Source organism: Homo sapiens, chromosome 6 (assembly GCF_000001405.40).
Source record: "Homo sapiens chromosome 6, GRCh38.p14 Primary Assembly".
Classification (NCBI taxonomy): Eukaryota; Metazoa; Chordata; class Mammalia; order Primates; family Hominidae; genus Homo; species Homo sapiens.
In genome coordinates, this window is record NC_000006.12 from 160,974,589 (window position 1) to 161,002,588 (window position 28,000).

A 28,000-nucleotide genomic window follows, 5' to 3' on the forward strand; every position below is an offset into this window, starting at 1 on the left:
TCACACCAAAGACTGCCAGCTAAGTGAGAGATTTACAGTCTCCAGCCTTGAGTTCTGAGTGTTTTCAGATGTGGACAGGGTCTGAGACTCTCACGTGACAAGCCATGGGCCCTATGCCGAGGCAGACTCCTGCTCTGTGCTGCTCCTAGGGAACCACGGCAGCTTCGAAATGCATTCTAATCTGCCCTCTTATTGTGACAGTTTATATTGTACTTAGAACCTAAAATTAAGACTCTAAACTGAGAAGAGTAACAGGCTCTCCAGTAGCCACTGTGGATTTGCATGCAAAGTGCAGACTGACATTTGAAACTCTTCACTTTTTACCCGCCACTCATCTTTCCAACCTTGTCACCCAGATCATCTGAGTGGTCTCCGTCCCTGAATCCCTGCATGCACTTTTGCTTTCTGTCCTTCCCTCTCCCTCAGTTCACTCCCACCAGCCATGATTTGAATGTTTGCCCCTTCAAACCTCGGGTTGAAATTTAATTTCCATTGCAATGGTATTGGAAGGTGGGACCTTTAAGAAGTGTTTGGGTCATGAAGGCTTTGTTTTTCTTATTGTGGGAATGGGTTTGTTATCCTGGGAGGGGAGGGGGTTGACCCCTCTTGCTGCCTCTCCCTCTCCCCCTTTCTGCCCTTCCTCTATGTGATGCCTTCTGTCGTGTTATGACAGAGCAAGAAGGCCCTTGCCAGATGCTAGCAGTTTGATCTTGGGCTTTCCAGCTTCCAGAACTGTCAGCCAATAAATTGCTGCTCATTGTAAATTACCCAGTCTATGCTATTCTGTTATAGCAACATAAAACAGATTAACACACCACCCTTTCTGTCTAGTGACATCTCATTTGTCTCTCAAGGCCCTACTCAAATGCTACCTTGTGCTTGAAACTATCTGTTTAATCAGCCTCCCTTAGAGTGATCCTTCCTTCTCCTCCCAGAAAGGCCCACATATATTGCTTTAGAACAATCATGTTTGGTAAAATGAATAATCTACCAATTTTAGCTTGATGACCCATCGCTCAATGTAATTTATTAAGCTCACTTTGCCACATCAGGTACAGATTTAGACACTAAGAGGAACAGAGATGCAAAGAAAACCAATGAGCTAACAGAACACTGGACTCTAGTTTGCACACTGATGTGCAGTATTTCTAATGTACCCATAAACATATTATTATGCAACATTTATACAAAGGTTTAAATTTCATATCAATAATTATTCTCTTTAATATAGAAGTATAGTATTATATGTATAATAAATATTTAAACATACTGTATATTTTATATTTAAAATATACTTATAAATCTATTATTTGTACTTATTTCTAAATGTGAACTGAAGAATTTGTTTAAAATATAGATGCCTGGGTCCTGCCCCAGGGTTCTGATTCACTTATTCCTGGATGAGGCCAAACGATCTGTGTTTTCATGTAGAGATTCCTAGGCTAGTGGTCCAAGGACCTGCTGGGAGAGACGCAGGGGCTTCCAGACTATAGGCGAATTTAAACATTTTCTGGTTGACAATTGATTTAGTTTGTCTCAAGACCTGGCGTCAATAGAAAGAAATGTTCAGGTTAAGATAAAAGATTGTGGAGACCAAGGTTCTTTTGAAGTCTTATACAGGCTGCCCTTAGAGGCAATAGATGACAAATGTTTCCTATTCAGACCTTTAAAAGGTGCTAGACTCTTAGTTAATCTCTTGAGGATTGGGAGGGCCTGGAAGAAAAAGATCTAGCTATGTTAATAGAGATTCTTTACAGATGCAAATTTTCCCCCACATAGGACAGCTTTGCAGGGCTATTTCAAAATAGGGCAAAGAAACATGTTTTGGGGTAAAATATGACTTTCTTCCTCGTCACATAATGTTATGCCGGAGTCAGATTGGAAAGTAAGTCACAACATATAGGGTTAAATAAAACCCAGCTCATGAGAATTGATGGTTTGTAGGGCATGACTCTCCAGACCCCTTAGATAGGAATTTGGGCAAGAGAAAAAAAAAAAAATCAAAGCTTAGTCCTCACGGTCCTCTCCCAGTGCTGGACTCGGTGAGAACCCTGTGTACTGGCTAATTTTATGTGTCAGCTTGGCTGGGTTATGATGCCCAGATACATGGTCAAATATTATTCTGGGTGTTTTTGTGAGGGTGCTTTTGGATGATATTGACATTGAAATCAGTGGACTTTGGGCCAGGTGTGGTGGCTCATGCCTGTAATCCCAGCACTTTAGGAGGCCAAGGTGGGCAGATCACTTGAGGTCAGGAGTTCGAGACCAGCCTGCTCAAAATGGCAAAACTCTGCCTCTACCAAAAAATACAAAAATTACTGGTTGGCCTGAAGTCCAAGCTACTCAGGAGGTTGAGGTAGGAGAATCTCTTGAACCCAGGAGGCAGAAGTTGCAGACAGCTAAGATCACACCAGTGAACTCCAGCATAGGGGACAGAGTAAGAGCCTGCCTCAAAAAAAAAAAAAAAAAAAAAAAAATTCCATGGATTTTGAAAGTAGTTTGCCCTCCATAATGTGGGCAGGCCTTATCCAGTCAGTTGAAGGCCTGAATAGAAAAAAAGCCTGACCTCCCCTGAGCAAGAGGGAATTGTATCAGCAGTCAGCCTTCGGACCTGAACTGCAATGTCGTCTCTTCCTTTAGTTTCCAGCCTGCTGGCCCACCCGACTGATTTTGGACTTGCCAGCCTCCATAATCACGTGCACCAATTCTTTACAATAAATTTCTTTCTATCCATGCTGTAAACCAAAAAGTGTCTGAAACAGGTCTCAATCAATTTAGAGGTTTATTTTGCCAAGGTTGAAGATGTGCCTGGGAAGAAGAGACACAGCTGCAGACAGGTCTGTGGCCTCTGCTTTTTCCAAAGAGGGTTTTGAGGACGTCAATATTTAAAGGGGAAAAAGTGAGCAGGAGGAGGAAGAGGAACAGTTAATTACGCATTTATCTTGCACTCTGTAAATCTGCATTTTATATAAGATAGAGTAGAAGAAGGTGGGGAGACAATTTCCGGTCTTGTCTTTGTCCCCTACCTGTGAAGATATGCTGTTAGTTTACATTGTCAGGGTGAGGGAGGCCACCTGGGGGAAATATGTGGCCTTCTATCTTGTAGCTATCTGTTTAGGAACAAAACAAAGGCATTTTTTTGTTTTGTTTTGTTTTTTGTTTTGTTTTGAGTCGAAGTCTCACTCCGTCACCCAGGCTGGAGTGCAATGGCGTAATCTTCAGCTCACTGCAACCTCCACCTCCCAGGTTCAAGCAATTCTCCTGCCTCAGCCTCCCAAGTAGCTGGGATTACAGGTGCCTGCCACCATGCCCGGCTAATTTTTGTATTTTTAGTAGAGATGGGGTTTCACCATATTGGCCAGGCTGGTCTCTTGGCCAGGCTGGTCTCAAACTCCCGACCTCATGATCTGCCTGCTTTGGCCTCCCAAAGTGCTGGGATTACAGGCATGAGCCACTGTGCCCGGCCTGGAAGGCTGTTTTTTTGTGTGACTCAGTTCCCAAGCTTAACTTTTCCCTTTGGCATCATGAGTTTGGGGGTCCCAAGATTTTTGTTTCCTTTCACAATGCTCTTGGTTCTGTTTCTCTTGAGAACCCTGACTAATATGCCCATGATCATTTGAACTCAGCTCCTTACTGTGGAGCACATGCAATCAAACTCCATGCCCGTGCCTCCTGGCACATGTAACAAGAGGCTCAACTCCATCAGAACCATATAGGGAACCCATGGAAAGTGCAGGTTCCTGGTCTGCCTCCTCAGAGGCTCTGACTCAGCAGGGCTTGGTTGGCTCTGAAATATGCAATTACAGAGCAGTTGGCTATTTTTTTTAGTATGTGACTCTAAATCATTTCAAAATGTGAGTTCCTCTAGTACAGAGCACTGTGAAAAGCACAAACATAAATAAAAACCAGTCCTTCTGGGGATTTCAGAAATCAAGCAAGAAATTCTATTTTGCAGTATTTTTGAGTAACAGAACCACACTGACCCATTGTGCTTGGTTGAATAGCATCACCCAAAAATACATGTTTTTCCCGGAACCTCAGAATGTGATTATATTTGGAAATATGGTTGTTGCAGAGGTAATTAGTCAAGTTAAGATGAGGTCATGCTGGAGGAGGGCAGGTCATTAATTCAGCATGACTAGTGTCCTTATAAGAAGAGGAAAAGAGACACAAGAGACAGACACAGAGAGAAGATGGCCATGTGATGACCGACGCAGAGATTGGTGTTACATAGCTGTAAACCAGGGGATGTCAAGGATTTCTGGCAACCACTGGAACCCAGGAGAGAGGCTTGGAACAGATTCTCTGCTTCAGAGTCCCCCAGAAGGAACCAACATTTCTCACACCTTGAGTTTGGACGTCAAGCTTTCATAACTGGGAGAGAATAAATTTCTGTTGCCAACCAGTTTGTGGTACTTTATTATAGCAGCCCTAGAAAACTAATATGCCCACCCACTGTAAACAACTGGAAAATGGGACAAAATACATAAAACAACTATTTTCAGACATTGAACAACTGGTAGTGCAGGTCTGTGATCCTTGAGAGAAGGCAAACCAATGGGGTGGGGCAGCACCCATGTGAACAAGCATCGCAATCAGGGCTAAGTGTGGCAAGTTCTGCATTTGTAGTACTGGGTCCCTACTGGAAGGAACTTTTCACAATAGGCAGCAGCTGGTTATCTAAACTGCTGCATTCCCAGCTGTAGCCTGCACAGTGCTGTTTAGATTGGGCACTAAGTAAAATAATTGAGGAATATTCTTGGATCACATTTCCTAAGCTGACTGTCTTTGAAGGTTTGGACCTATAACAGTGATTCTCAACCCTGGCTGAACATTAGAATTACCCGAAGAATGTTTTCAACCGTGGGTGCTGGGGCCGCATCTCAGACGAATTAAATGTAGATCTACTAGAGAGGCGGGATCCAAGCATTACTGTTTTTTTACAACCTCCTCAGATGAGTGTATCGTGCAGCCAAAGAAGAGACTCATAGATCTTTATCCTACTTTCCAACCACTCACTAAGCCTCTTTTAATAATCCTGCTAAAACCTAATGTAAACAGATATTTTTCATGTGGGTGTCCTATAAGTTACTATCTAATATTACTTAAGCGCATGCTTGCATATTCTTCCAAATAGGTAGACACTTTGTGTCACAGGTTATTGTCCTGTTAGTGTCTTCCCACTCCACTCTAGGCACTTTTCCTCTGAGAGCCACACCACAGCTTCTTGATGCCCATGAGGGGATTCCTGGAGTTGCTGCAGGTCCTCTCATCCACTAATGTGAAAGCAGGTGAATTCGGCTCCCAAGGCTGCTATGGCAAAGCACCACAGTGTGGCTTAAAGCAGTGGCTCACGCCTGTAATCCCAGCACTTTGGGAGGCCGAGGCGAGTGGATCACGAGGTCAGGAGATCAAGACCATCCTGGCGAACACAGTGAAACCCTGTCTCTACTGAAAATACAAAAATTAGCTGGGCGTGGTGGCCCGTGCCTGTAATCCCAGCTGCTCAGGAGGCTGAGGCAGGAGAATCACTGGAGCCCAGGAGGCGGAGGTTGCAGTGAGCCAAGATCGCACCACTGCACTCCAGCCTGGGTGACATAGCTAGACTCTGTCTCAAAAACAAACAAACAAGAAACAAACAACAACAACAACAACAACAACAAAACAAAAACAGCAGAAATCTGGGCTTTCACAGTTCTGCAGGTCAGAAGTCCCAAATCAAGATGACAGCAGGCCATGTTCTCTTTGAAGGCTCTAGATGAGAGGATCCTTCCTAGTCTCTAGCATCTGGTGGTCTCTCTCGGTCTATTCTCCCCTTCTTTTTTTTTTTTTTTTTGAGACGGAGTCTCACTTTGTCACCCAGGCTGGAGTGCAGTGGTGTGATCTTGGCTCACTGCAAGCTCCACCTCCCAGGTTCACACTATTCTCCTGCCTCAGCCTCCCGAGTAGCTGGGACTACAAGGTGCCTGCCACAATGCCCAGCTAATTTTTTGTATTTTTTAGTACAGACGGGGTTTCACTGTTAGCCAGGATGGTCTCAATCTCTTGACCTCGTGATCTGCCCAGCTCGGCCTCTCAAAGTGCTGGGATTACAGGCGTGATATTCTCCCCTTCTTATAAGGACACCACTTACACTGACTGAAGGACCCAACCTACTTCAGTATCTTACTCATGTTAACTTGATTATGTCTCTAAAGGCTCTGTTTCCAAATGAGGTCACATTCACAGGTACCAGGGGTTAGGACTTTGCTATGGCTTGAATGTTTATGTCTCCCCCAAAATTCATGCTAGAACTTAAACCCCAACATGATAGTATTAAGAGGTGCTGCCTTCGGGAGGTGATTAAGTCATGAGGGCAAAACCCTTGTGAGTGGGATTAGTGACCTTATAAAAGGGCAACTAGCTTGACCTTTTTTTTTTTTTTTTTTTTTTTTTTTTTGCCCTTCTGTCCCTCCTGCTATGTGAGGATGCAGCACTTTTTCCCTCTGGAGGAAGCAGCTTTCACCTTGGAAGAATCTTGACCTTGCCATTCAAAGTCACCAGACAGGGAATCTGCCAGTGCCTTGATCTTAGACTTCCCAGCTTCTGTAACTGTGAGCAATAAATGTATGCTGCTTATAAACTATCCAGTCTCATGCATTTTGTTATAGCAATATAAACAGATGAAGACAGACATAAACATATCTTTTTGAGAGATGCAATGCAACCCATACCACCAGGATTGCCACATGTTTGCTGATTTCACCTGGTAGCAAGGCTTAGCTATCTTGGCTTGAATGTAATACCTCCATCTTTTCTCTTGGTCATCCTCTTTAAGCAGAGGACTTTTATCTACCCAAGCAGAATCCTGTGTTCTTGCTATTCGAAGTGCAGCCCAGCCTCCTGCAGCCACCACATCACTTGTGATGCTTGACAGAAATGCAGACTCTCTGTTCCCACCTCAAACCTACTGACTTGGGAATCTGCAGCTTACCAAGATCTCCAGGTGATCCACGTACACGTCAAACTTTGAAAAGCAGTGGTTTGCAGAACAAAAAGGATTCAGCTTCTGATATGGTTTGGATTTGTGTCTGTACCCAAATCTCATGTCAAATTGTAATCCCCAGTGTTGGAGGAGGAGCCTGGTGAAAGGTAATTGGATCACGGGGGCAAACTTCCCCCTTGCTGTTATCATGATAGTGAGTGAGTTCTCATGAGAGCTGGTTGTTTAAAAGTTTAAAAGCACCTCCCCCTTCGCTCTCTCTTCCACCTTCTCCAGCAATGTAAAATGAACCTGCTTCCCCTTCATCTTCCACCATGATTATAAGTTTCCTGAGGAATCTCCAGCCATGCTTCCTGTACAGTCTGCAGAATTGTGAGTCAATTAAAACTGTTTTCTTTATACATTACTCAGTCTTAGGTGCTTCTTTATAGCAATGCAAACATGGACTAATATAGAAAATTGGTACCTAGCAGTGGGGCATTGCTATAAAGATACCTGAAAATTTGGCAATGACTTTGGAACTGGATAATGGGCAGAGGTTGGAACAGTTTGGAGATCTCAGAAGAAGACAGGAAGATGTGAGAAAGTTTGAAACTTTCTAGAGACTTGTTGAATGGTTGTGACCAAAATGCTGATAGTGATATGGACAAAGAACGAAGTCCAGACTGAGGTGGTCTCAGATGCAGATGAAAAACTTATTGGGAACTAGAGTAAAGGTCACTGTTGGTATGCTTTAGCAAAGAGACTGGTGGCATTGTGCCTCTCCTCTAGGGATCTGTGGAACTTTGAACTTGAGAGAGATGATTTAGGGGATGTAAACCAAAAATAAAAATATAAGTCCCCCCCAACCATCTGATTGGACTTCCTCCTAGGCCATGGCACTTTAAAATTTAACCTGAAAGACTGGTTCAGGCCATGATAGGAAGTGGGGGTCGGACATGCCTCATTATGCCTGTTCAGCATTAACATCAACACATACCTTAAGTCTGATAAGACATATTTACAATATAATCTCTCTGAAGCCTGCTACCTGGAGGCTTCATCTACATGAAAAAACTTTGGTCTCCACACCTCTTATCCCAACACAGACATTCCTTTCTGTTGATAACTCTTTCAACTGATTGCCAGTTAGAAAAATGTTCAATCTACTATAACCTGGAAGCCCCTGCTTCAAGTTGTCCCACATTTCCAGACTGAACCAATGTATTTCTTAAGTGTGTTTGACTGAAGTGTCATGTCTCCCTAAAACGTATAAAACCAAGCTGCACCCCAACCATCTTGGACACATGTTCTCAGGATCCCCTGGGGGCTGTGTCACAGGCCATGGTCACTCATATTTGGCTCAGAATAAATCTCTTTAACTATTTTACAGAGTTTGACTCTTTTCATCAACAGGTATTTGGCAGAAGAAATTTCTAAGCAGCAAAGCATGAAAGATGTGGCCCAGTTGCTTCTAACAGCATAATCTCATGTGTGAGCAAAGAGACGATCTGAAACTGGAACTTATATTTTAAACGGGAGCAGAGCATGAAAGTTTAGAAAATATGCAGCCTGACGATATGGTAGAAAAGAAAAACCCATTTTTCTGGGGAGGAATTCAAGCTGGCTGCATAAATTTGCATAAATAAAGAGGAGCCAAATGTTAATAACCAAGACAACGGGGAAAATGCCTCAAAGGCATTCCAGAGACCTTTGTGGCAGCCCCTCCCATTACAGGCCTGAAGGCCTAGGAGGGAAGAATGGTTTCATGGGCCAGGCCAAAGGCCCCGCTGGATGGGCCCTGGGACACTGCTCCTTGTGTCCTAGTCATTCCAGCTCCAGCCATGGCTAAAAGGTCCCCAGATACATCTGAGGCCACTGCTCCAGAAGATGCCAGCTATAAGCCATGGTGACTTCTATGTGGTGTTAAGCCTGTGCGTGCACAGAGGGCAAGAGTTGAGGCTTGGGAGCCTCCACTTAGATTTCAGCGGATATATGGAAATACCTGGATGTCCAGGCAGAAGTCTGCTGCAGGGTTGGAGCCCTCATGGAGAACCTCTACTAAGGGCAGTGAGGAGGGGAAATGTGGGGTTGGAGCCCTCACACAGAGTCCCCTCTGGGGCACTGCCTAGTGGAGCTGTGAAAAGAGGGCCACTGTCCTCCAGACCCCAGAATGGTAGAGCCACTGGCAGCTTATACCGTGTGTCTGGAAAAGCCTCAGGCACTCAACACCAACCCTTGAGAGTAGCCATGGTAGCTGAGCCCTGCAGAACCACAGGGGTGCAGATGCCCAAGGCCTTGGGAGCCCACCCCTTGCATCAGTGTGTCCTGGATGTGAGACATGGAGTCAAAAGATATTATTTTGGAGCTTTAAGATTTAATGACTGACCTGCTGGGTTTCAGACTTGCATGGGGCCTATAGCCCCTTTGTTTGGGCCAATTTCTCCCTTTTGGATCAGGCATATTTACCTGATGCCTGTACCCCATTGTATCTTGGAAGTAACTAACTTGTTTTTTATGTTATAGGCTCATAGACAGGAGTGACTTGCCTTGTCTTAAATGAGACTTGGACTCTGGACTTTTGAGTTAATGCTGAAATGAGTTAAGACTTGGGGGACAGTTGAGAAGGGATGATTGTATTTTGCAATGTGAGAAGGACATGAGATTTGGGAGGGGCCAGGGGTGGGATGATATGGTTTGGATTGTGTCCCCACCCAAATCTCATGGTAAATTATAATCTCCAATGTTGGAGGAGGGGCCTGGTGGTGGGGGGTGATTGGATCATGGGGGTGGACATCCCCCTTGCTGTTCTCACAAGATCTGGTTTTTTAAATGTGTGTAGCACAGCCAGGCACGGTGGCTCACGCCTGTAATCCCAGCACTTTGGGAGGCTGAGGCAGGCAGATCACAAAGTCAGGAGATTGAGACCATCCTGGCTAACATGGTGAAACCCCGTCTCTACTAAAAATACAAAAAAAATTAGCCGGGCGTCGTGGCAGGCACCTGTAGTCCCAGCTACTTGAGAGGCTGAGGCAGGAGAATGGCGTGAACCTGGGAGGCAGAGCTTGCAGACAGCCGAGATCATGCCACTGCACTCCAGCCTGGGCGACAGAGCTTGCAGACAGCCGAGATCATGCCACTGCACTCCAGCCTGGGCGACAGAGTGAGACTCCATCTCAAAAAAAAAAAAAAGTGTATAGCACCTCCCCTTCACTCTCTCTTCCTTTTTCTCTGGACGTGTAAGACGTGTTTGCTTCCCCTTCACCTTCCACCATGATTATAAGTTTCCTGAGGCCTCCTCAGCCATGTTTCCTGTTCAGCCTGCGGAACTCTAAGACAATTAAACCTCTTTTCTTTATAAATTACCCAGTCTCAGGTAGTTCTTTATAGCAATGCAGGAATGTACTAATACACCTTCCTTTTATACTGGTGAATGATCCTGGTTGTTGGAAACACATAATGCCCTTAGTTTAAATTGAAAATTAACCACTAGACAGTCTTTTCTCAATTATCCTTCAAGTATGTATAGTCCTTCAATTATATTTTGAAATGAATTTGAGGTAAAAGCATTCTGAAGTTAGGATTTCAAATTCTCTTAGTTTAAGCAAAATGACTTTAGTCAAGTCTGAATTGTCAAGTAAATTATATAAGCAAAACCTTCTAATAGAATTGTCTCCAGCCAGTACTCTCCAAGTCTGAAAGGAGTCGGGGAAGGGAGTGATTAATCTGGAAAAAAAAAAAGATTTTTGTGTTGTCATTTTAGGGGAGAACCATGAAATAATTATTCTCAAATGTCAAGTAGATTTATTTTATATAGTCCCAGATAGACCACCAGCTAGACATAATAGGGAGACAGATTTAGGATTGTTACAAGCTTTAATATCCTATGAATAAGATTTGTCAAAATATGGAACAGACTTCCTTATAGAATTGAGAAATTCAACCATTGGACACTTTTGTGATTGATGGAAAGTCTTGTTCTGAGAATAAGGGTAAATCAGATGCCTTTCAGCATGTTTCCAACTCAAGGACTTCATGATGTGGCAAACTACTCTGAAAATGTAAACTTCAGACGGATGAGTCCTTGACTTTGTGGAACTTATTTCTGACCCTTGGTAGGCTCAAAATATTTCTGATGTGCATCAGAGCCATATCTCAATAAAAATCAGTGTTTAAAAGTCCATTTCCATATTTATTTATTATTACTTTTTCCTTACTTCAGTCAGAATGATGTTAGAAGCCTTTTGTTTGTTAGTACGTGTATCTACACAAGCAGCCAGTAGGACTATAAGGATTCTGTACTATCAGTATAAAAATCTAGGTTATTTCTATGCTTCATAATATTTTTGTGACAAAGGGGTTCATGTATTGTGGAGTTAACATGGTTTTTACCCCCTTATACTGAATGTCTACTTTTTTTTTCTTTTTTTTTTTCCTCACTCTGTCACCCAGGCTGGAGTGCAGTGGTGTGATCTCGGCTCACTGCAAGCTCTGCCTTCTGGGTTCACGCCATTCTCCTGCCTCAGCCGCCTGAGTAGCTGGGACAACAGGTGCTCGCCACCACGCCCGGCTAATTTTTTTGTATTTTTAGTAGAGATGGGGCTTCACCGTGTTAGCCAGGATGGTCTCGATCTCCTGACCTCATGATCCGCCCGTCTCGGCCTCCCAAAGTGCTGGGATTACAAGCATGAGCCACCACGCCTGGCCTGAATGTCTATTTTTTAAATATAGGTTTTTCTCCTTACTTGTGTCCACCTTGGTTGTCTCCAATTCTTGTGAATGTCTGTTGAACTTAAAAAAAACTTGTTTATGATGTTTCTTATAGTCTACTTGTACTACAGTAATTTATATCTGGGATTTATTTCCCCGTTGATATATCCAGGCTGTTGCCCAGGCTGGAGTGCAATCATGTGATCACAGGTCACTGCAACCTTGACCTCCCAGACTCCAGTGATCCTCCCATCTCAGCCTCCTGAATAGCTGGTGGGAGTGCACCACCGTGCCCAGCTAATTTTTGTACTTCTTGTAGAGACAGGGTTTTGTCATATTGCCTGGGCTGGTCTTGAACTCCTGAGCTCAAGCAATCCTCCCACCTTGGCCTCCCAGTGCTGGGATTACTTACTGGTGTGAGCCACTGCGCCCAGCATTCATTTATCAATAGACATTTCACTGAACAGTTACTGCCTACAGGGTGTTATTCTAGCTGCTGAAGATACAGTGATAAGCAAAAAACATTGCCTGCTCTTGAGAAGATCACAAGGAAGAAATACACATGTAATCAGTCAAGTATACAGATGCAGATAGGTGATATAGGGCTAAAATAATGGTTTGCCCAAAGTGCTATGGGAACATTGAGGAGGAGCACCTAGCCAGCAGGTTAAGGCAGGCTAGTGGTGGAGGGCAGGGAAGTCTCCCAAGAGTGGTGTGGGAGACACACGAACAGCACTGAAAGGAGAAGTGACTTTGCCATGTGGAAGTGAAGGGCAGAGGCCTCTGGCAGAGGGCATGGGAGCTCCTTGATGTGATGTCATCTCGGTTCTCCTTGCCTGGTTCCATCTCATGCACATGCACTTGGTGATTTTAAGGGATCTGAAAATAATACAGGAACTGCAGCTTGCTGTTTCTGGTTCTCTAGGCCTTGCACGTGGACATCTGAAAGAGAAATGAAAGGATGAGAATCAGGCATGGTCTCTAGATGTTTTGGTGGGAAATCACTGAAATCTTGGCTCACAAGAAGAGTGAGCTCCCTCAGGAATTTCCATTTTTTAAGCCATCTGTTCCTCATGTTAGCAAGATCCTGGAAAGAGGTATTGAGAAGTCAGAGCAGGAATGAAGAAACGTGGGCTCTCCTGGTTTTAGCTGCCTGCATGTCCCAAAGGAAATGAAGTGGGTGCTCCTCCCTGTGGGTTAGCACATGCTCACGTTTTATATGTTGGAGGCCACGTCCTTTCCCTTTATTTGTTTCAATCATTTGGGTAATTCCCACTATTCTAATTATTTTTTGAAAGCATGCAATCTTTAATTCTTTATCTACTGATTTGGAGCCCCTGGGGGTTCAATTTAGATTCTTCATGCAGAGGAGAATGTCTGCAATAAGGGGTGATTTATGTCATGGTGGAGAAATAACAAAAACAGGCAAATCACCTCTCAGCAAATAAACAGTGGAGGTTTTCTCCAACTTCCTACTACTCAGCCAAGAAGGATGAGATTTAAGGTTATAAGGACTATTTAAAAAGTGTGTAACTACTATTCACAATAGCAAAGACACAGAATCAATCTAATGCCAATCAGTGGTAGACTGGATAAGGAAAATGAGGTACATATACACTATGTAATACTATGCAGACGTAAAAGAACAAGATCATGTCCTTTGCAGCAACATGGATGGAGCTGGAGACCATTATCCTTAGCAAACTAATGCAGGAACAGAAAATCAAACATCCATGTTCTCATTTATAAGTGGGAGCAAAATGATAAGAACACATGGACACACACACAGGGCCTATTGGAAGGTGGAGGGTGGGAGGAGGGAGAGGATCAGGAAAAATAGCTAATGGGTACTGGCTTAATCCCTTGGTGTTGAAATAATCTGTACAGCAAACCCCCATGACACAAGTTTACCTATATAACAAACCTGCAGATGTACACCTAATCTTAAAAGTAAATTTTAAAAAAGTTTACTATCTTTTGTACATATCCAGTATTTCTTTGGTGTTTTACCAGTAGATAGAAATAGATGCCACTGTATCATTATGAAACAAAAAATCAATGTGTGTCGTGCTTAGTTTAGGTCCTCTCCAATGGATGTGAGGTTTTTATTGCTCTCTTTCACTGGGTCTGCCTTTCTCTGCGTGTGCTGGAGTGAAAATTAATCAGCCCCTCTGGTCGTGAGCAGATTGCATGTTTGTGCTGCCTGTCTTTCTGCCTCTGCGGAGCTGTAGAGGAGCCACCAGAGAGCAGAGGGCCAGAACTGCTGAAGTTTTTGTCTGAATGTTCACACCGGAATCTGGTCGGGGGGAACTGAGAAACCAGAACAGGAATGAAGAAATGTGGGCTCTCCTGGTTTTAACTCCCTGCACTTCCAGAAGGAAATGAAGGGGTGTGCTCCCTCAGGAATACCACAAGGAAGGGAGGAACTTATTTTAAGTAAAATGCAGCACCACGCTAATAATAATTTTAAAAACTATAGCCTTAGAGGTTTTTCTTTTTAATAGCAGACATAACCCTATTTATCACATCACTTATTTTATTGAGACCATCCTGGCTAACATGGTGAAACCCTGTGTCTACTAAAAAATACAAAAAGCCAGGTGTGGTGGCAGGTGCCTGTAATCTCAGCTACTCAGGAGGCTGAGGCAGGAGAATCGCTTGAACCTGGGAGGCAGAGGTTGCAGTGAGCTGAGATCACGCCACTGCACTCCAGCCTGGGCAACAGAGCAAGACTCCATCTCAAAATAAAAAAATTTTTTTTAAATAATCCTGTGGCAAAATCCATAAAATTGACTAATATACTAGCCTTGAAATATGCTAAGGTGTTACAATTATGCCCTTTACATTTATGTACATATATATATATACACACTATATAGAGAGGAAATTTGAGACTTCATAATAGTGGTAGCATATGTCCAAGGTTTTTGAGTGTTTTTGGCAAAGCAGAAAGAACATGCATATGAATATGTAACTGGTTTTGTGTATGTCAAAAATGGGCTTTAAACTCATGGTAAGCAATGTTCTGAATGTTACGTAGCTCAACCTAGACTAGGTCTTCAGTAGAACCTTAGCTTTTTAAACTCATTTCAAAGTAAAGAAATTCCATAAGGGCTATGTGGATTCGGTCTTGAGGACAAAGAGTGAAAGGTAATTCTCTGAAGATTTTGTTGTCATTGTTTTTAACATGATTAGGCTGGGTGCAGTGGCTTACACCTATAATCCCAGGGTTCTGGGAGACTTGAGGCCAGGAGTTCAAGACTAGCTTGGGCAACATAGTGAGGCCTCAGCTCTACCAAAAAAAAAAAAAAAATGTTTAAAATTAGCTGGACATGGTGGTATGCATCTGTAGTCCCAGCTACAGCAGAGGCTGAGGTGGGAGGATCACTTGAGCCCAGGAAGACCCTGTCTCCAAAATAAAAAAAGAACATTATTAAAGGTAATGAGACAATGAGACCAACCATGTGCTAAACAAGAATAAAAATTTAGAGACAAAAATCTAATAACTTAAAAAAAATAACTATTTCATTAATGCAACAATACTTACTGAGTTCTACTAACACCATGTTGGGCACCAGAGACATTTGATCCCTAGGCAAAGGTCAGAAGAAGGAAGAACAGCTTCTTTCCTGAAGGAGCTTACACTATGGTGGAGAAGGCAGAAAAGAAATCTGGGGGCTGTGAGGCGCTCACTGGGAGCCCTGAAGACAAAGTGGGGGCACGGGGTGAGATGAGAGGGTTGTCAGCCAGAGAAACAGCTTTCCTGGACCCAGCATGGGGGTGGGGCGAAAAGTCACAACACTTATATTGAATATTTAGTACCAGTTAACTTAGGTTTCTATACATGATGCATTACTTGATTAGGTAAGTGTAAATTTACTTGGTTCCTGCTAAAATACATAGTATCCTCAAGTGGAAATTAAAACACAAGAACAAGCCACAGGTCTCCCGCATGCTGATTATATTTGCTAAGTGTTTTGTGACTTGGACACACGTGTCTGCATTATCAGCTAGCTTAAATTCGGTAGTCATACCAAAGAATACGTAGTACAATGCTGTTTAAAGAAGAGATTTATTTTATTATTTAACTTTTAAAGTCTCTAATATGCCTTCTAAGAAGGGTTCTGGCTCAGAAAATTGCAGAAGAAAATCGAGTAGAGAACTAGAATTACAGAAACCTAAGAAATACTTTTACTGAGCTTTCTTCACACAAGAAAATGCACGGAAATGAATTATACATGGATACCAATTTGTGATTTTTAAAAATTTGTAATTTTTTAAATTAAGATAAAAATTAGTTTATTTTTTTGAATACTTTTTTGTTTTGTTTTACCTCACCCTTTACTAAGCTGTTAGCTTGGTCTGTTGCGCTTACTGCTATATCCTCAGCATCTAGTACAGTTCCTGACACATATATGCACTTAATAAGTATTTGTCAAATGAATATTATTGAGTAAATAAGATGAAGGTCAATTCAGAAATTCAGCACTATCAGGCTATATACATAATACAGACTATTATAAAAAACTAGAATGGAGCAGTTCCTTTTAACGACGGAGAAATGTCAGTAACATACTTTGAGCACAATATAGCTAATTTCACAACTGGTCTTTAAATATAACATACCTATAATCAATTTAATGTTTTTCTTTGTTACCAGAGTTGTTCAAAACGTGCGTTTCACCTATCAAAGCTCAACTAAATGAGGTTTAAGAAATCTGCACATTTGAATGTACTTAATTTTAAAAGATTCTGGTTTTGGATTAACTCTGGATTTCACCCTATGGGAAATTTTGTAAATATTTCCAACTTAAAAAAAAACTGTGAAGCCCCAGCGCTAAGAGTAAACGATGCATTGGAATTTCAACAGGATTTCTGTAACTCTGAAATAATCTTTAGCATTTCTTCTTCCCCCCATCCCCTCAGTGTAGGAGCATTCCAGTCCAAGTTTCTGGGAGATCGCTATCGAATCTTATGACACTGGGGTGAGAAGTTTTGCCGGGTTGAAATGAGGGGGTCACTTTAATAATCTGGAATTCCGGAGACTTTATGTCAAGTCTTAAAAATTCGAGCCTGTGGAAGGCTGCGCTGTCAAGAGACCGGAGTTGCGAGCGTCTGGGTGACGTCCGTCCTCCTGGAAGGTGGGATCCGGGTGGCAGGTCCCTGGGCGGCGACTCCGGCCGGGCTCATAGCGTCGCGCCCGCCCCGCTCATCGGCCCTACCCAGCGTCCCTCCCAGACCGACGACCGCCTGGGAAGCCTCGAGCTCCCAGCCCGCTGCACAGCCCGGCTCCGCTCCACAGTCCCCCACTGCCACCGGCCGGGGCGACACCGGGCGAGCTGGCGAGACCCGGCTCCAGGACCGAATCGCGCCGACACTTGACGGCGCTCCCCGCCCCTCCCTGCCGCCGTCTCCGCCCCCGTCCGGTCGCATTCCGGCGCCCGCCGCCGCCGCCGCCACCGCCGCCGATCTGGGAGGCTTGTCCCTCGCCGCCCACCGTAGCCCCGGCGCTCGGCCGGTCGCCGTTTCCAAGATGGCCGCGGCGCGCACGGCTCCTGCGGCGGGGTAGAGGCGGAGGCGGAGTCGAGTCACTCCCGCACTTCGGGGCTCCGGTGCCCCGCGCCAGGCTGCAGCTTACTGCCCGCCGCGGCCATGCGGGGCTCCGTGCACGGATGAGAGAAGCCGCTGCCGCGCTGGTCCCTCCTCCCGCCTTTGCCGTCACGCCTGCCGCCGCCATGGAGGAGCCGCCGCCACCGCCGCCGCCGCCACCACCGCCACCGGAACCCGAGACCGAGTCAGAACCCGAGTGCTGCTTGGCGGCGAGGTGAGTGTGGCGGCCGCAGTCGGTCGCTCGCAGAAAGCGGGGCGGGTCCTGGCCCGAACTCGGTCGGGCCCGAGGGCCTCTGCTTCCCGCCAGGTGGGGAGGGAAGCATCCAGTCTCTGCAGGCTGGGGCGGGAGGGGCGCGGTGCATCCCTGGGTCCCAGGGGACCGCGTCTGAGTCTGTCCGGCGACTCCTCCCGGGGTTGCAGCTCCGCAGGGTTCCGCTCGAGCGTGTTGCCGGCTCCCCTTCCCTTGTAGACTCCCCCAGCTCACCCTCAACGTTGCGGGGGCTGGGAGCAGAGTGCGGCTGCCTCCCCTGCCGCTAGCTTCGGAAGAGTGGCCTCACTGAAGTGCCTCTCATCATTACTGAACGAAAGTGGTCCCTCCCCTCTGCCCTCATTCGAGTAAAAGAGACATTCGGAAATCGAGTGCGTACTGGCTATTTCCCCGCGTTCTCCTCCTCCTCTCCTTTTGCCCGCTCCAGAGAATGCCTGTCATCTCTTCCGTGAGAAATTGCACTTAGACTATGCAGACAGATACGTTGCTTTCCTGTTCTGAGGGCCCCTTACTGTCCTTTAGTGCTAGTATTGTGCAGATTGTTGCTCACACGTGCACAAAAGTAAGGATTCATTTGTCTAAAACTTTGCTACTGCAGGAAGCTCTAAGGTGGAACTTCGGTAACCAAAGCATTTGTTGCTTTTTCTTCCATACTCTATTAACTTATTTTTATGTCTTTATTTTTTTTTTAATTGAGAGAACAAACTCACCATAACTGAGAATTTCCCTCTTTTTACGTGCCTATGTTTGTATGTTCAAATGTCCTCTTACTCCCTGTCCTTTGCATCCCAGAGTAAACTTGCAAACTGCTGCCCCCTGTCCCCTGTAATGAAAATACCTCGGCAGCTCCTCTTGGCATCTTATGGTCTTGCTCTATGGTTCTAGGAATAAGGCAGTAAAGTGTCCTCTTTTTCCTGCTTAAAGAAAATTCACACCTGTAACTGTAGTTAGAACTGAACACAGGAGCCATATTCTTGCTTGTCATCATTCAGTTGGCCCAAACAAATTTGTTTTATTTTTATAAGCTGTGAAGAAATTAGTTGCCTCTTTTAATTCTGAGATAGTTCTGGGTACTTCTAAGGAACAACTTCTCTGAATAATGGTACAGGGTGTAATGAGAATTCCTTTGGTTCCTTTTGAATACATCTAGTATTTTTAGAAATTTTGTCAGAAAGTTTATTATAAATTTGTTAACGGATCAGTTTTCGAGCAATTTTGATACCTTTTTCTTTAAAATTAATAGTGAACACTTAACGGTTAAAATAGGCCATTGTCTTTATTTCTATTAACCCATTTAATCTTTTCAACAACTCTATGAGGTAGGTCCTGTTATACTCTCTTTTTGACAGATGAGGAAACTGAGGCACACAGTTTAAGTATCTTGTCCAGGGTTTCACAGCTGGTAATGAAGAAAGGTCTGGCTGCACAGCCCATGTCTTTAACCACCATGAAGAATTCATTATCCAAATGGGCGGATCAGAAATTAGAATTCTGTATAACCCTACTCCGGAAAGAAATGGACATGAGCATTCTTAGGTAAAAGCGAGAAGGGCAGAGAAATGAAAATGTGCTGCAAAAATGACTGCTGCTTCAGTGGTAAAAAAAAAAAAAAACTTGACTTTTCAGTCAGGCTTCTGTCTGTGTTATAATAAAAATAGGTCAGGATAATGGGTTTCATCCAACTGTAAGTGAACAGCAGTGTACGGAACAAGAAGATCTCAATATTTTTCTTAGCAACATTGCAGTTAATTTTACAATAGAAAAATCTGTAAAACAGATTACTTGACAAAGCTGTTGTTTTCTCTTTTTTATGTCCTCGTTGTCACCACCTGCTCTTCAATACATAGAACTGACCTCTGACAGAATTACTGTAGATCTTTGGTAAAAGATGTAGGGGGTCTATCCAGTTGTTCATTTGAACTTTTTTTTTTAACCATTTTAGAGGAGCTCAGTGTACGTGTTCAAAATGTGTGAAATGCCACCTCTTTTTTTTTTTTACAATTTTCTTTTTTATTTTATTTTCAATAGTTTTTGGGGTACAGGTGTTTTTTGGTTACATGGATAAGTTCTGTAGTGGTGATTTCTAAGATTTTGGTGCACCTGTCACCCAAGCAATGTACACTGTACCAAATATGTAGTCTATTCCTCACCCCGCTCTGAGCCTTCCCCCGAGTCTTCAAAGTCCATTATATCATTCTTACGCCTTTGCATCCTCCTAGCTTAGCTCTCACTTATAAGTGAATACGATGTTTGGTTTTCCATTCCTGAGTGACTTCACTTAGAGTAATGGCCTCCAGCTCCATCCAAGTTGCTGCAGTTGCCATTATTTCGTTGTTTCATGGCTGAGTAGTAGTCCATGGTGTATATATGCCACATTTTCTTTATCCACTCATTGGTTGATGGGCATTTAGGTTGGTTCCATATTTTTGCAGTTGTGAATTGCGAATTGCTGCTATAAACGTGTGTACATGTGTCTTTTTCATATGATTAGTTGTTTTCCTTTGGGTAGATACTCAGTAGTGGGATTGCTGGATCAAATGGTAGTTCTACTTTTAGTTTTTAGGTTTTTTTAGTTTTTTTTGAGACAGAGTCTTTCTCTGTTGCCCAGGCTGGAGTGCAGTGGCGTGATCTCAGCTCGCTGCAACCTCTGCCTCCCGAGTTCGAGCAATTCTCCTGCCTCAGCCTCCCGGGTAGCTGGGATTATAGGTGCCTGCCACCAGGTCCAGCTCATTTTTGTATTTTTAGTAGAGACAAGGTTTCACCAAGTTGGTCAGGCTTGTCTTGAACTCCTGACCTCGTGATCCGCCCATCTTGGCCTCCCAAAGTGTTGGGATTACAGGCGTGAGCCACTGCGCCTGGCCAGTTTTTTAAGGAATCTCCATATTGTTTTCCACAGTAGTTGTACTAGTTTACATTCCCACCAGCAGTGTATAAGAGTTCCCTTCTCACCACATCCATGCCATTGTCTATTTTTTTAATTATTATTTTTAAATTATGGCCATTCTTGCAGGAGTAAGGTGGTATCTCATTGTGGTTTTAATTTGCATTTCCCTGATAATTAGTGATGTTGAGCATTTTTTCTTATGTTTGTTGAAAATGTGTGAAATGCCACCTTTTAATACATTGGAAACCAATAATGTGATAATTTATGCTACCAGGTTAACTGGTTTTGCCACAGACTAGAATAAAACTCTGTTTGCCATCTTTGTCACATACTTTATGTCTGTGTGTCATTGATTAGGAAGGTTGTGTTAATGCACAGGCCTTTTGTAGAATTCAGGCCTGTACATGTTGGCCTCCAAAGCTGTGCAGCAAGTGTGCCATCGTGGCAGGTGCAGCCAGCCCAGCACATCTGCCTAGTGTGTGCTTTCCTCCTGACCCAAGAGTGTTATGCAGTGACCCAGCAACACAAAACAGGCAGAGAGGTCATAGTACTCTATTCCAGTTTTATTGCTTGCTGTCAGTTGTGGATACTTTTGTCCTTATTTTTGATAAAGAATTCATGATAAGGATAGCTGTTGTTATTGTTAGTGATTAAATTTTGAAATAAACATTGCTTATCATTTCTTTTTCAAGCTTCTGGGGCAGTTTTAGGAGGATCCTGAGGTGACTAGGAGAGCTATTAAAACTAATTTGGAACAATTTACCTTTGTGACTTATTGGATCTGTACACCTAAAACACAGAATAAATTGGATATTAAGGCTGATATAATGCTCTTGTTTACTATAACCTTTCATTTAAAATATTTATATTAAAAATAGCCTCATTGTTCTCATTGTCCTTATGAGTACATGCTGCATAAATTTAACAATTAACTTTTTTTAAAAAATGAATTATTTACTTTATATATTTATTGTAAATTCATTTGAAAAACTGGATTTCCTACTAAAAAACTAGTTGAATGTCGTCACTCCTAGGCAATTTGCTCTGCCTCTCGGCTTGAATGTCCACCTTGAGCCTGTGTGTTTCAGTCTTGACCTTGTATGTCAACTGTTCTCCCTGGCAAAGTCAGCCTCCTGTGGTGCTCCAGACTGTTGGTGTAGCATCAGTGATGGTCATGCCTTTACACCACTGTAACAGTAGATGCCATTGGCGGGGGTGGCGTTAGGCAGAGAGGAGTCACCAAACAGCAGTGATGGCAGAAACTTCATGTTTTCAACTGGGGACTTGTCACTTAGGAGGACTTTGTAGTTCCCTTTAATTTTCTGTCATTGTTAGAGGCCACTCTGTTTCCTTCATGTATGCTCTCATGGTGTCCTGCAAATCTTGTTCTGAGCTCTGCTGAAATACGGGGATATAAAGGTCTTGCCTGCTCACTGGATACATTTGTTGTAATAACTTCCTGTTATTTAATAATTCCTCATTCCTCATGACTATGATTTTACTCATAGCATTCTATTGTCTCAGCCTTGTCATTTGACCAGGTAGTATGTATGCTGTTTGAAGACTCTTTAACGTTGCCTATCAGTAGGCTACTGGTAGTGGTTTCTTTAAAGAGAAAATGGAAAACGTGAGAGAAGGAGATTAGCTGAAGACTCCGTAGGTCTTCATAAGCTGGCACTCCCTTGGCACGATAATCAAGGCCCAGACACTCACTGTGCTTGGCTTCTCAGGCACAGATACTCAGCTTTGTCTGTACACCTGGTTAGTCAGTGTATTCTCTTGCTTGTAGAAAGCCAAAGTATAATTAAGAGATTGATTAGTAAGCATGATATTAGCAAGGGAAATGAGTTGAATGATCCCGGTGACTCATGTTAGCAGACCAGTGAGGTGGGCTTGCATCCCTAGCAGGTGCACCCCTGCTTCTGAATGAGAGGCAGTGTGATCCAGACTTACTCTTAGGTTTTTATTTTCTAGGCATCACACAGGCTGCTTTTTTCCCTTGTGTCACAAACTTTCCTAAATTGTTTGGGTTATAGTATGTTTGTTTTAATCTTCAGTCTTTATAACAAACCTTGCTTTTCCTGCTTTAATTTGGGAGTATATTTTATCCTTCTCACTTTAAGATTTCTTTTTTTAAACCTCAGTGGTACGGTACATTTTTACTAATGGTGAGTCTCAGAGGATCACCTTATTGTCTCCATCCCCCACCCAGTATTCTCCCCATAATCTCTGTCCCACCACCCCTCGCCAAGAATCCTTTAGCATAGTTTCTCAGAACAATGTGGCAAAGATGTCAGTGGTTGGTGCTTTCATAAAATTCTTTTTGAATATTGTGTTCAAAAAGGATCATGATGGTATCTGGCTTTTCTGGATTTAAGTCATAAAATTAAATTTTAAAAAATCAGAACCACATCAGAATTCTATCCAGTTATTAAAAACTGTTTTTAAATAGTGTTTAGTGACATGTGAAGATGCTCATGATACAACTCCTTTTGGGGTGGTACCTGAGTAGCTCTTCTTAAGAAGATTCTCAAGTATTTCTGATGTATACATACTCACCGCTGTGTTCAGCAAGAACAAACAGACTATGAAACAGAATTTGCAGAAGATGGGAGCCAAAATTTGAGGTAGTTTTTCATCTCATACACATATTTGTCCACCGGCTGTGTCTGCCCTACTTCACTGTCTTCCTTCTACCTTATTTGGGGGAATTCCTCTCTTGACTCAAACTACATGGTACATATTGGAGCTGCCCTCTTCTTACAGATGCCAGGCCATAGGCATGACACTTGACCCAGTCCAGGCCAATTAGGATTCTTTCCTGGGATTTTTCAAATTGGAGCTGGGAGAGAGAAACGCGCATTTTACTGAAGTATAGGCTGAGAATTCATGAGCCTAGAGCTAGCTTCCTGAAGCTCCTACAGAGGACCTGGTCTCAGAGAGTGATGTTAATCCCCAGAGAAAAGCAGAGAGGCTGAAAGAGGTCTATGGCCAGTTGCCTTTAAAATAAATAAATAAATAAAAATAAATAAAGAGATGGCAGTCTCTGTATGTTACCCAGGCTGGATTCAAACTTCTGGTCTCAAAGAATTCTTTTGCCTTGGCCTCCCAAGTAGGTGGTACTACAGGTGCGCACCACCACACTGTCAGCCAGTTGCCCTTTTGTGCTAGATTTGTCCCTATTTTTCTCCTGATTTGATGTGAGCTAATCTCTATTTGTGCTTAAACTATTAATTTGAGTTAAACTTCTTAAAACCCTAATACTCAGTGTGATCGCATTTTAAAAAGTATGTGCATAGAAAAAAGATATAAAAAATACATACTAATTTTTCCTAAAACTTTTTATGATGAACGTGTTACACATTTTATTTTAAAATAAAAAGCTAATCAGAGAGCCTAAATTCTTAACTAGCTCATTTATAATTTTAAGTTTCTTTACGTTGAATTGTTACTAAAATTGAAATTGATGAGAGTCCATGTGATATAAAGAGAATATTGTTGCCAAATTTTAAATGATTTTATTTATTTTTGGTATCTGAGCTGGCTTATCTGAGCTGGCTGTAGCAAGCTGCTTTTAAAAAACTATTTACTTCAGCTTGGGTAATAGAGTATGTAGATTAGAAACAACTCCAACAGTAACAAAACAAACACAGGACTTACATTAGGGTGGTCTTTTACATTAATAGAAATATTTAAAATCTAGAACTGTGTTCTCAACATGTATATTGTGTTTAAATGCTTTCCCCATTTTAAGCGGTGTACTTGAAATGTCTATATTTTAAAAGATACATTATTCCACTGGCAGTGAGTATGGTAGGTGCATTTTTAGACCCCTGCAGATCTCACACTGTGTAATCGAGTGCCTTTGCCTTTAAATATTTATTCACTAGCAGGCAACATGAAGTTTTGTTTTTGAATTACAAGAACGTTCATGTTTTGCAATTTGCAGACCTACCTCAGCAGTATTGGTTTCATGGGTCATATGGATGCCACGTGTTTATAAATTAGCAGGGAAAGCTATTAAGAATATATTAGGCAGTCTATCAAAAGCATTTCATACATGGATTTCATTTCAGACAAAATAAGCCTTCTGTGGAGAAAAGTAGATACTAAGCTTTAAAGCTGATCAGATTTGATGTTTTCAGTGGAAGCTTTTTTGTGTGTGAGCAGGCTATTTGAAGATACTGCTGAAATGTAGAACTTTCTGAATAGGGCTTGTTAGAGGACAGCTAGTTTAGAGTTGTCAAATTAATAGAAATTGTCAACCTTTTTAGTGTTTCAGTGGGGAACTTTTGGACGATAGTACATTTATTTTATTTAAAATCCTAAAGTCTTTTTATATGGGAACATAAAAATGTAGATATAACTTGGTTTTCTCACACAATTTTTGGAGTTAGTTAGTTGTATCTGTTAAGTATTTAGTTCTTACTCAGATAAGGATTTAAACATTTGCTAATACAAGTTCTTACAGATGGTAGGACGCTTAGTGTTCATTTCATCCAACTTCCTAGCCATTGCTTATAGAATTACAAGAGTTGAGCTCTTATAAGATCATTTGGGCTGTGCGTCTCGTTTTAGAGATGAGAAAAATGGCCTAGAGGGGCTGCAGCTTTCCCAGCTGACAGCTTAGGCTCCAGATCTGCAAGCCCTTCTTCCCTTACCCTCGCATCGCCATGTGCTCCCCTGGTCAAGGTCCAAAGCCAAGGTGTTCTCCAGCCACCTGCCATACATAGCCCAGCTTAAGCCCATGTGCACAGTTACTTGGCAACCGTGAAATGCTGTATTTTCTGGATGAATTGGACTCAACAGGATCAAACGAGATGAAAGATTTGTTTTTAGAAAAAAATGCAAATAGAAAATATGAAATCCTCTTAAAACTCATCATCCACAACGTTTTTCCCCCGTGAAACTTTTATTTCTTGCTCGCAGAATAAAGAAGAGCCAATGCTCAGAAATTTTCAGATACGTTGTTATTTTCAGGCGTCGGTCTGTACATCAAGAAGACAGTAAGATTCTAACTTCTGGTCTGTAGTAGTGGTTTTGAAACTGTGTTTATGGTCGTGACCTACAGTAAGAAATATATTTTATGACAGTGTGTGTGTGCCTTATAACCAAAAGAAAACAATTTTGAAACAGTATTTGACCTTGCAATATATGATACTCAAATAATTCTTATTCTGTTCTATTAAAAATTGTTCATCATAACCTACTAAATTGATTTTATTACCCACAAATAGGTTGTGACCCTCAGTTTTAAAAGCATAGCTCTACCCAAAATAAAATGGATGCTGTTATACTTTGTACCTTGTCCCTTGAGACTGAGTCAGGAGAACAAGTACACTATTTGTCTACTAAATGATCAAATGGAATTTTGAAGAAGCTCGGCAATACTTACTTCTTGAAGACAGCATTGTTACCCGAAGGCAAGAGTAAGAATGTATCTATGCTTGTCTCTCAAGGTTGTTCTCTTGGCTGCTTATCCTTAAACTACAAGAATTGTAAAGATCAGTTTAAAATCTAGGATTAATTTTAGAGTAAAATTGGGATTGGCATTATGTGAATAATTTAGGTAATTTGTTGATCTTTCTCTGAAACAGTAACCTGTGTTTAAAATTTTTCACATAGAGCAGTCCTTAAGAAAAGAAAGGAACTCATTTTCCCCTGATATATATACACACATATATGTGTACACCATATATACACACACATACACACACATATATGTGTACACCCATCTGTATACACACATATGTGTACACCCATATATACACACATGTGTACACCCATATATACACACATGTGTATGCACACATACACATGTGTACGCACATATACACATGTGTACACATACATATATGTATATTATACTATACATATATGTACACACACATATATAGTGTATAATATGCATATATATGCACACATAGTGCATATTATATATAATATACACATATGTATATAATATATATTATATATTATAATATACACATATGTATATAATATATATTATATATTATAATATACACATATGTATATAATATATATTATATATTATAATATACACATATGTATATAATATATAATATATATTATATACACATATATAATACAAGTGTATATAAGTATATATGTATATACATATATATGTGTACACATATATAAGAAATCCAAATCCAAATACTGAAAAATTTACAAAAAATATTTACAAAAATATTTTTATCAAGTTATTAATTATAGGTGGAATCATGTATGTCTCAAGCTATGTGTTATAAATGTTATCAAATAATTCAAACAATATATTTCACATCTATATATTCTGTATATGCATGATATATATGTCATATGTAATCTATGTTAGGGTACAGCAGTTTCACTTTAGGTCTTAAGCATTGCTTACTTTAGGGTCCACCTTGACATTTCCCCCGCTTCCCCCCAGAATAGATGAGATCCTTCTGTTATGTGTCCTCAGAGCCCCTGCAGTTTGCCACCATTTGTAATTATATATTTGTGTACATATTTGTTTATTATGTTTGCCTTCAGTAAACTCCATGAGGGCTGGGGCATCGTCTGTTGTTTTGCTTACTTTTATTGCCTAATTCCTGGCTCGTTGCCTAACAGCAGGTTCTTTGCTGACACTTGTATGAAGGAGGCAGAGCATAGGTTTTGGTAGTAGATAGGCTTTGAATGTTACCTTTTGATTGCTAGCAGTAGGATTGTGGGGAAGTAATTTAGCCTCTCTCAGTCTGTTTCCGCATTTGAAAGGCAAAAATAATAACATCTTCCTAGGTTGTTATTAAGATTAAGTAATTCCTGTTCTATAGTAAGTGCTCAGTATTAGCTGTTTTATTACATTTCTCTTTCTTCCTCTTTTTGGGCTTAAGGTAAAAGAGGCAAATCCTATAGTGATTTTCTTAAAAAGCCACCAAATATGCATTGAGGCTGGATACTTTTAAAAATAGCTGCAATAATCTCCATTCAAGAAACATTTCCCCCCCAACGTCTGCAGAAGCCATAGAAATAAGAAAAAGGTTTTTTTTTTTTTTTTTTTTTGGATCTAGCTTTTCCAGATTCTCTCTCTTACTTTAGTTGTGGTTTATTCTGCATATTATTCCTACAGGTGTTTGGAATTCTGGCTGGCCCTTGGATCATCATAAATCATGCTGCTAAATTAAGAACTGTAACGCTACTGATTGTGATTGTTTAGGTTAATAGGCACAGCTGTCTTTTTCTGTGGAAATTCTTTTTAGTTCATTTAACTTGTGTCTTTATAACTTGGATTAATTTTCTTTTCATTTTTTAAATGTTATACACTGTAAGAGGAATAGTTTTCAAATTGATCTAGCCACTGCCTAAGAAAAATGAATGAAATCTTTTCACGTAATAAAACTAGATTGATCTAGCTACTGCCTGAGAAAAGTGAGTGAAATCTTCTCGCTTAATAAAAGTAACTTAATCAGTTAGAAATTTTCCTGATTATAAAGGTAACCTGTATCTATTATGGAAAACTATGAATCATATAAAGAAGAAAATGACCAATTCTAATTCTGCCATCTAAAAATAGTTTTGG

At 41.7% G+C, this 28,000-nt stretch overlaps 1 protein-coding gene and 2 long non-coding RNA genes across 21 annotated transcripts in view, besides 11 other annotated features; 2 read left to right on the forward strand and 1 right to left on the reverse strand.

Moving 5' to 3' along the window:
• LOC102724087 (uncharacterized) overlaps positions 1 to 6,625 on the forward strand; it is a 55,176-nt gene extending 48,551 nt beyond the window's left edge. For 7 of the 13 annotated variants that reach the window (NR_187756.1, NR_187759.1, NR_187764.1 and 4 more), the window contains one exon: positions 6,474 to 6,625. This is a non-coding gene — a long non-coding RNA (uncharacterized LOC102724087). Of the gene's footprint in view, positions 1 to 6,466 lie in introns of all 13 variants that reach the window. The other 6 variants (NR_187755.1, NR_187757.1, NR_187760.1 and 3 more) reach the window with 1 other exon arrangement.
• Positions 1,235 to 1,949: an enhancer, noted in NCBI's record as "NANOG-H3K27ac hESC enhancer chr6:161396855-161397569 (GRCh37/hg19 assembly coordinates)". NCBI's record gives its function as "activates a minimal SCP1, AML or CMV promoter by ChIP-STARR-seq in naive H9 embryonic stem cells {active_cell/tissue: H9 hESC(naive)}" and the evidence as "EXISTENCE:reporter gene assay evidence [ECO:0000049][PMID:30033119]".
• Positions 8,855 to 9,055: a silencer, noted in NCBI's record as "peak6299 fragment used in MPRA reporter construct". NCBI's record gives its function as "represses an SCP1 promoter by STARR-seq MPRAs in K562 erythroleukemia cells {active_cell/tissue: K562}" and the evidence as "EXISTENCE:reporter gene assay evidence [ECO:0000049][PMID:32103011]".
• On the reverse strand, positions 15,730 to 17,754 carry MAP3K4-AS1 (MAP3K4 antisense RNA 1). The gene has a single exon (NR_174962.1). It is a non-coding gene; the product is annotated as an MAP3K4 antisense RNA 1 (long non-coding RNA).
• Positions 16,617 to 16,676: an enhancer, noted in NCBI's record as "active region_25407". NCBI's record gives its function as "activates an Ori minimal core promoter by ATAC-STARR-seq in GM12878 lymphoblastoid cells {active_cell/tissue: GM12878}" and the evidence as "EXISTENCE:reporter gene assay evidence [ECO:0000049][PMID:35858748]".
• Positions 16,697 to 16,766: an enhancer, noted in NCBI's record as "active region_25408". NCBI's record gives its function as "activates an Ori minimal core promoter by ATAC-STARR-seq in GM12878 lymphoblastoid cells {active_cell/tissue: GM12878}" and the evidence as "EXISTENCE:reporter gene assay evidence [ECO:0000049][PMID:35858748]".
• Positions 16,697 to 17,588: a biological region, named in NCBI's record as "H3K27ac hESC enhancer GRCh37_chr6:161412339-161413208".
• Positions 16,719 to 17,588: an enhancer, noted in NCBI's record as "H3K27ac hESC enhancer chr6:161412339-161413208 (GRCh37/hg19 assembly coordinates)". NCBI's record gives its function as "activates a minimal SCP1, AML or CMV promoter by ChIP-STARR-seq in primed H9 embryonic stem cells {active_cell/tissue: H9 hESC(primed)}" and the evidence as "EXISTENCE:reporter gene assay evidence [ECO:0000049][PMID:30033119]".
• Positions 16,857 to 17,186: a silencer, noted in NCBI's record as "silent region_17765". NCBI's record gives its function as "represses an Ori minimal core promoter by ATAC-STARR-seq in GM12878 lymphoblastoid cells {active_cell/tissue: GM12878}" and the evidence as "EXISTENCE:reporter gene assay evidence [ECO:0000049][PMID:35858748]".
• MAP3K4 (mitogen-activated protein kinase kinase kinase 4) overlaps positions 17,181 to 28,000 on the forward strand; it is a 125,612-nt gene continuing 114,792 nt past the window's right edge. For all 7 annotated transcript variants that reach the window (NR_120425.2, NM_001291958.2, NM_005922.4 and 4 more), the window contains exon 1: positions 17,181 to 17,495. Coding sequence is in view for 5 of the 7 variants with exons in the window: in NM_005922.4 (NP_005913.3) it covers positions 17,344 to 17,495 (152 nt within the window). In the remaining 2 variants the exon portion in view is untranslated. The remainder of the gene's footprint in view (positions 17,496 to 28,000) is intronic.
• Positions 17,649 to 17,943: a silencer, noted in NCBI's record as "tiled region #85; K562 Repressive non-DNase unmatched - State 1:Tss". NCBI's record gives its function as "represses a minimal TATA promoter and a strong SV40 promoter by Sharpr-MPRA in K562 cells {active_cell/tissue: K562}" and the evidence as "EXISTENCE:reporter gene assay evidence [ECO:0000049][PMID:27701403]".
• Positions 17,649 to 17,986: a biological region, named in NCBI's record as "Sharpr-MPRA regulatory region 85".
• Positions 17,857 to 17,986: a silencer, noted in NCBI's record as "silent region_17766". NCBI's record gives its function as "represses an Ori minimal core promoter by ATAC-STARR-seq in GM12878 lymphoblastoid cells {active_cell/tissue: GM12878}" and the evidence as "EXISTENCE:reporter gene assay evidence [ECO:0000049][PMID:35858748]".
• Positions 26,839 to 27,340: an enhancer, noted in NCBI's record as "NANOG hESC enhancer chr6:161422459-161422960 (GRCh37/hg19 assembly coordinates)". NCBI's record gives its function as "activates a minimal SCP1, AML or CMV promoter by ChIP-STARR-seq in naive H9 embryonic stem cells {active_cell/tissue: H9 hESC(naive)}" and the evidence as "EXISTENCE:reporter gene assay evidence [ECO:0000049][PMID:30033119]".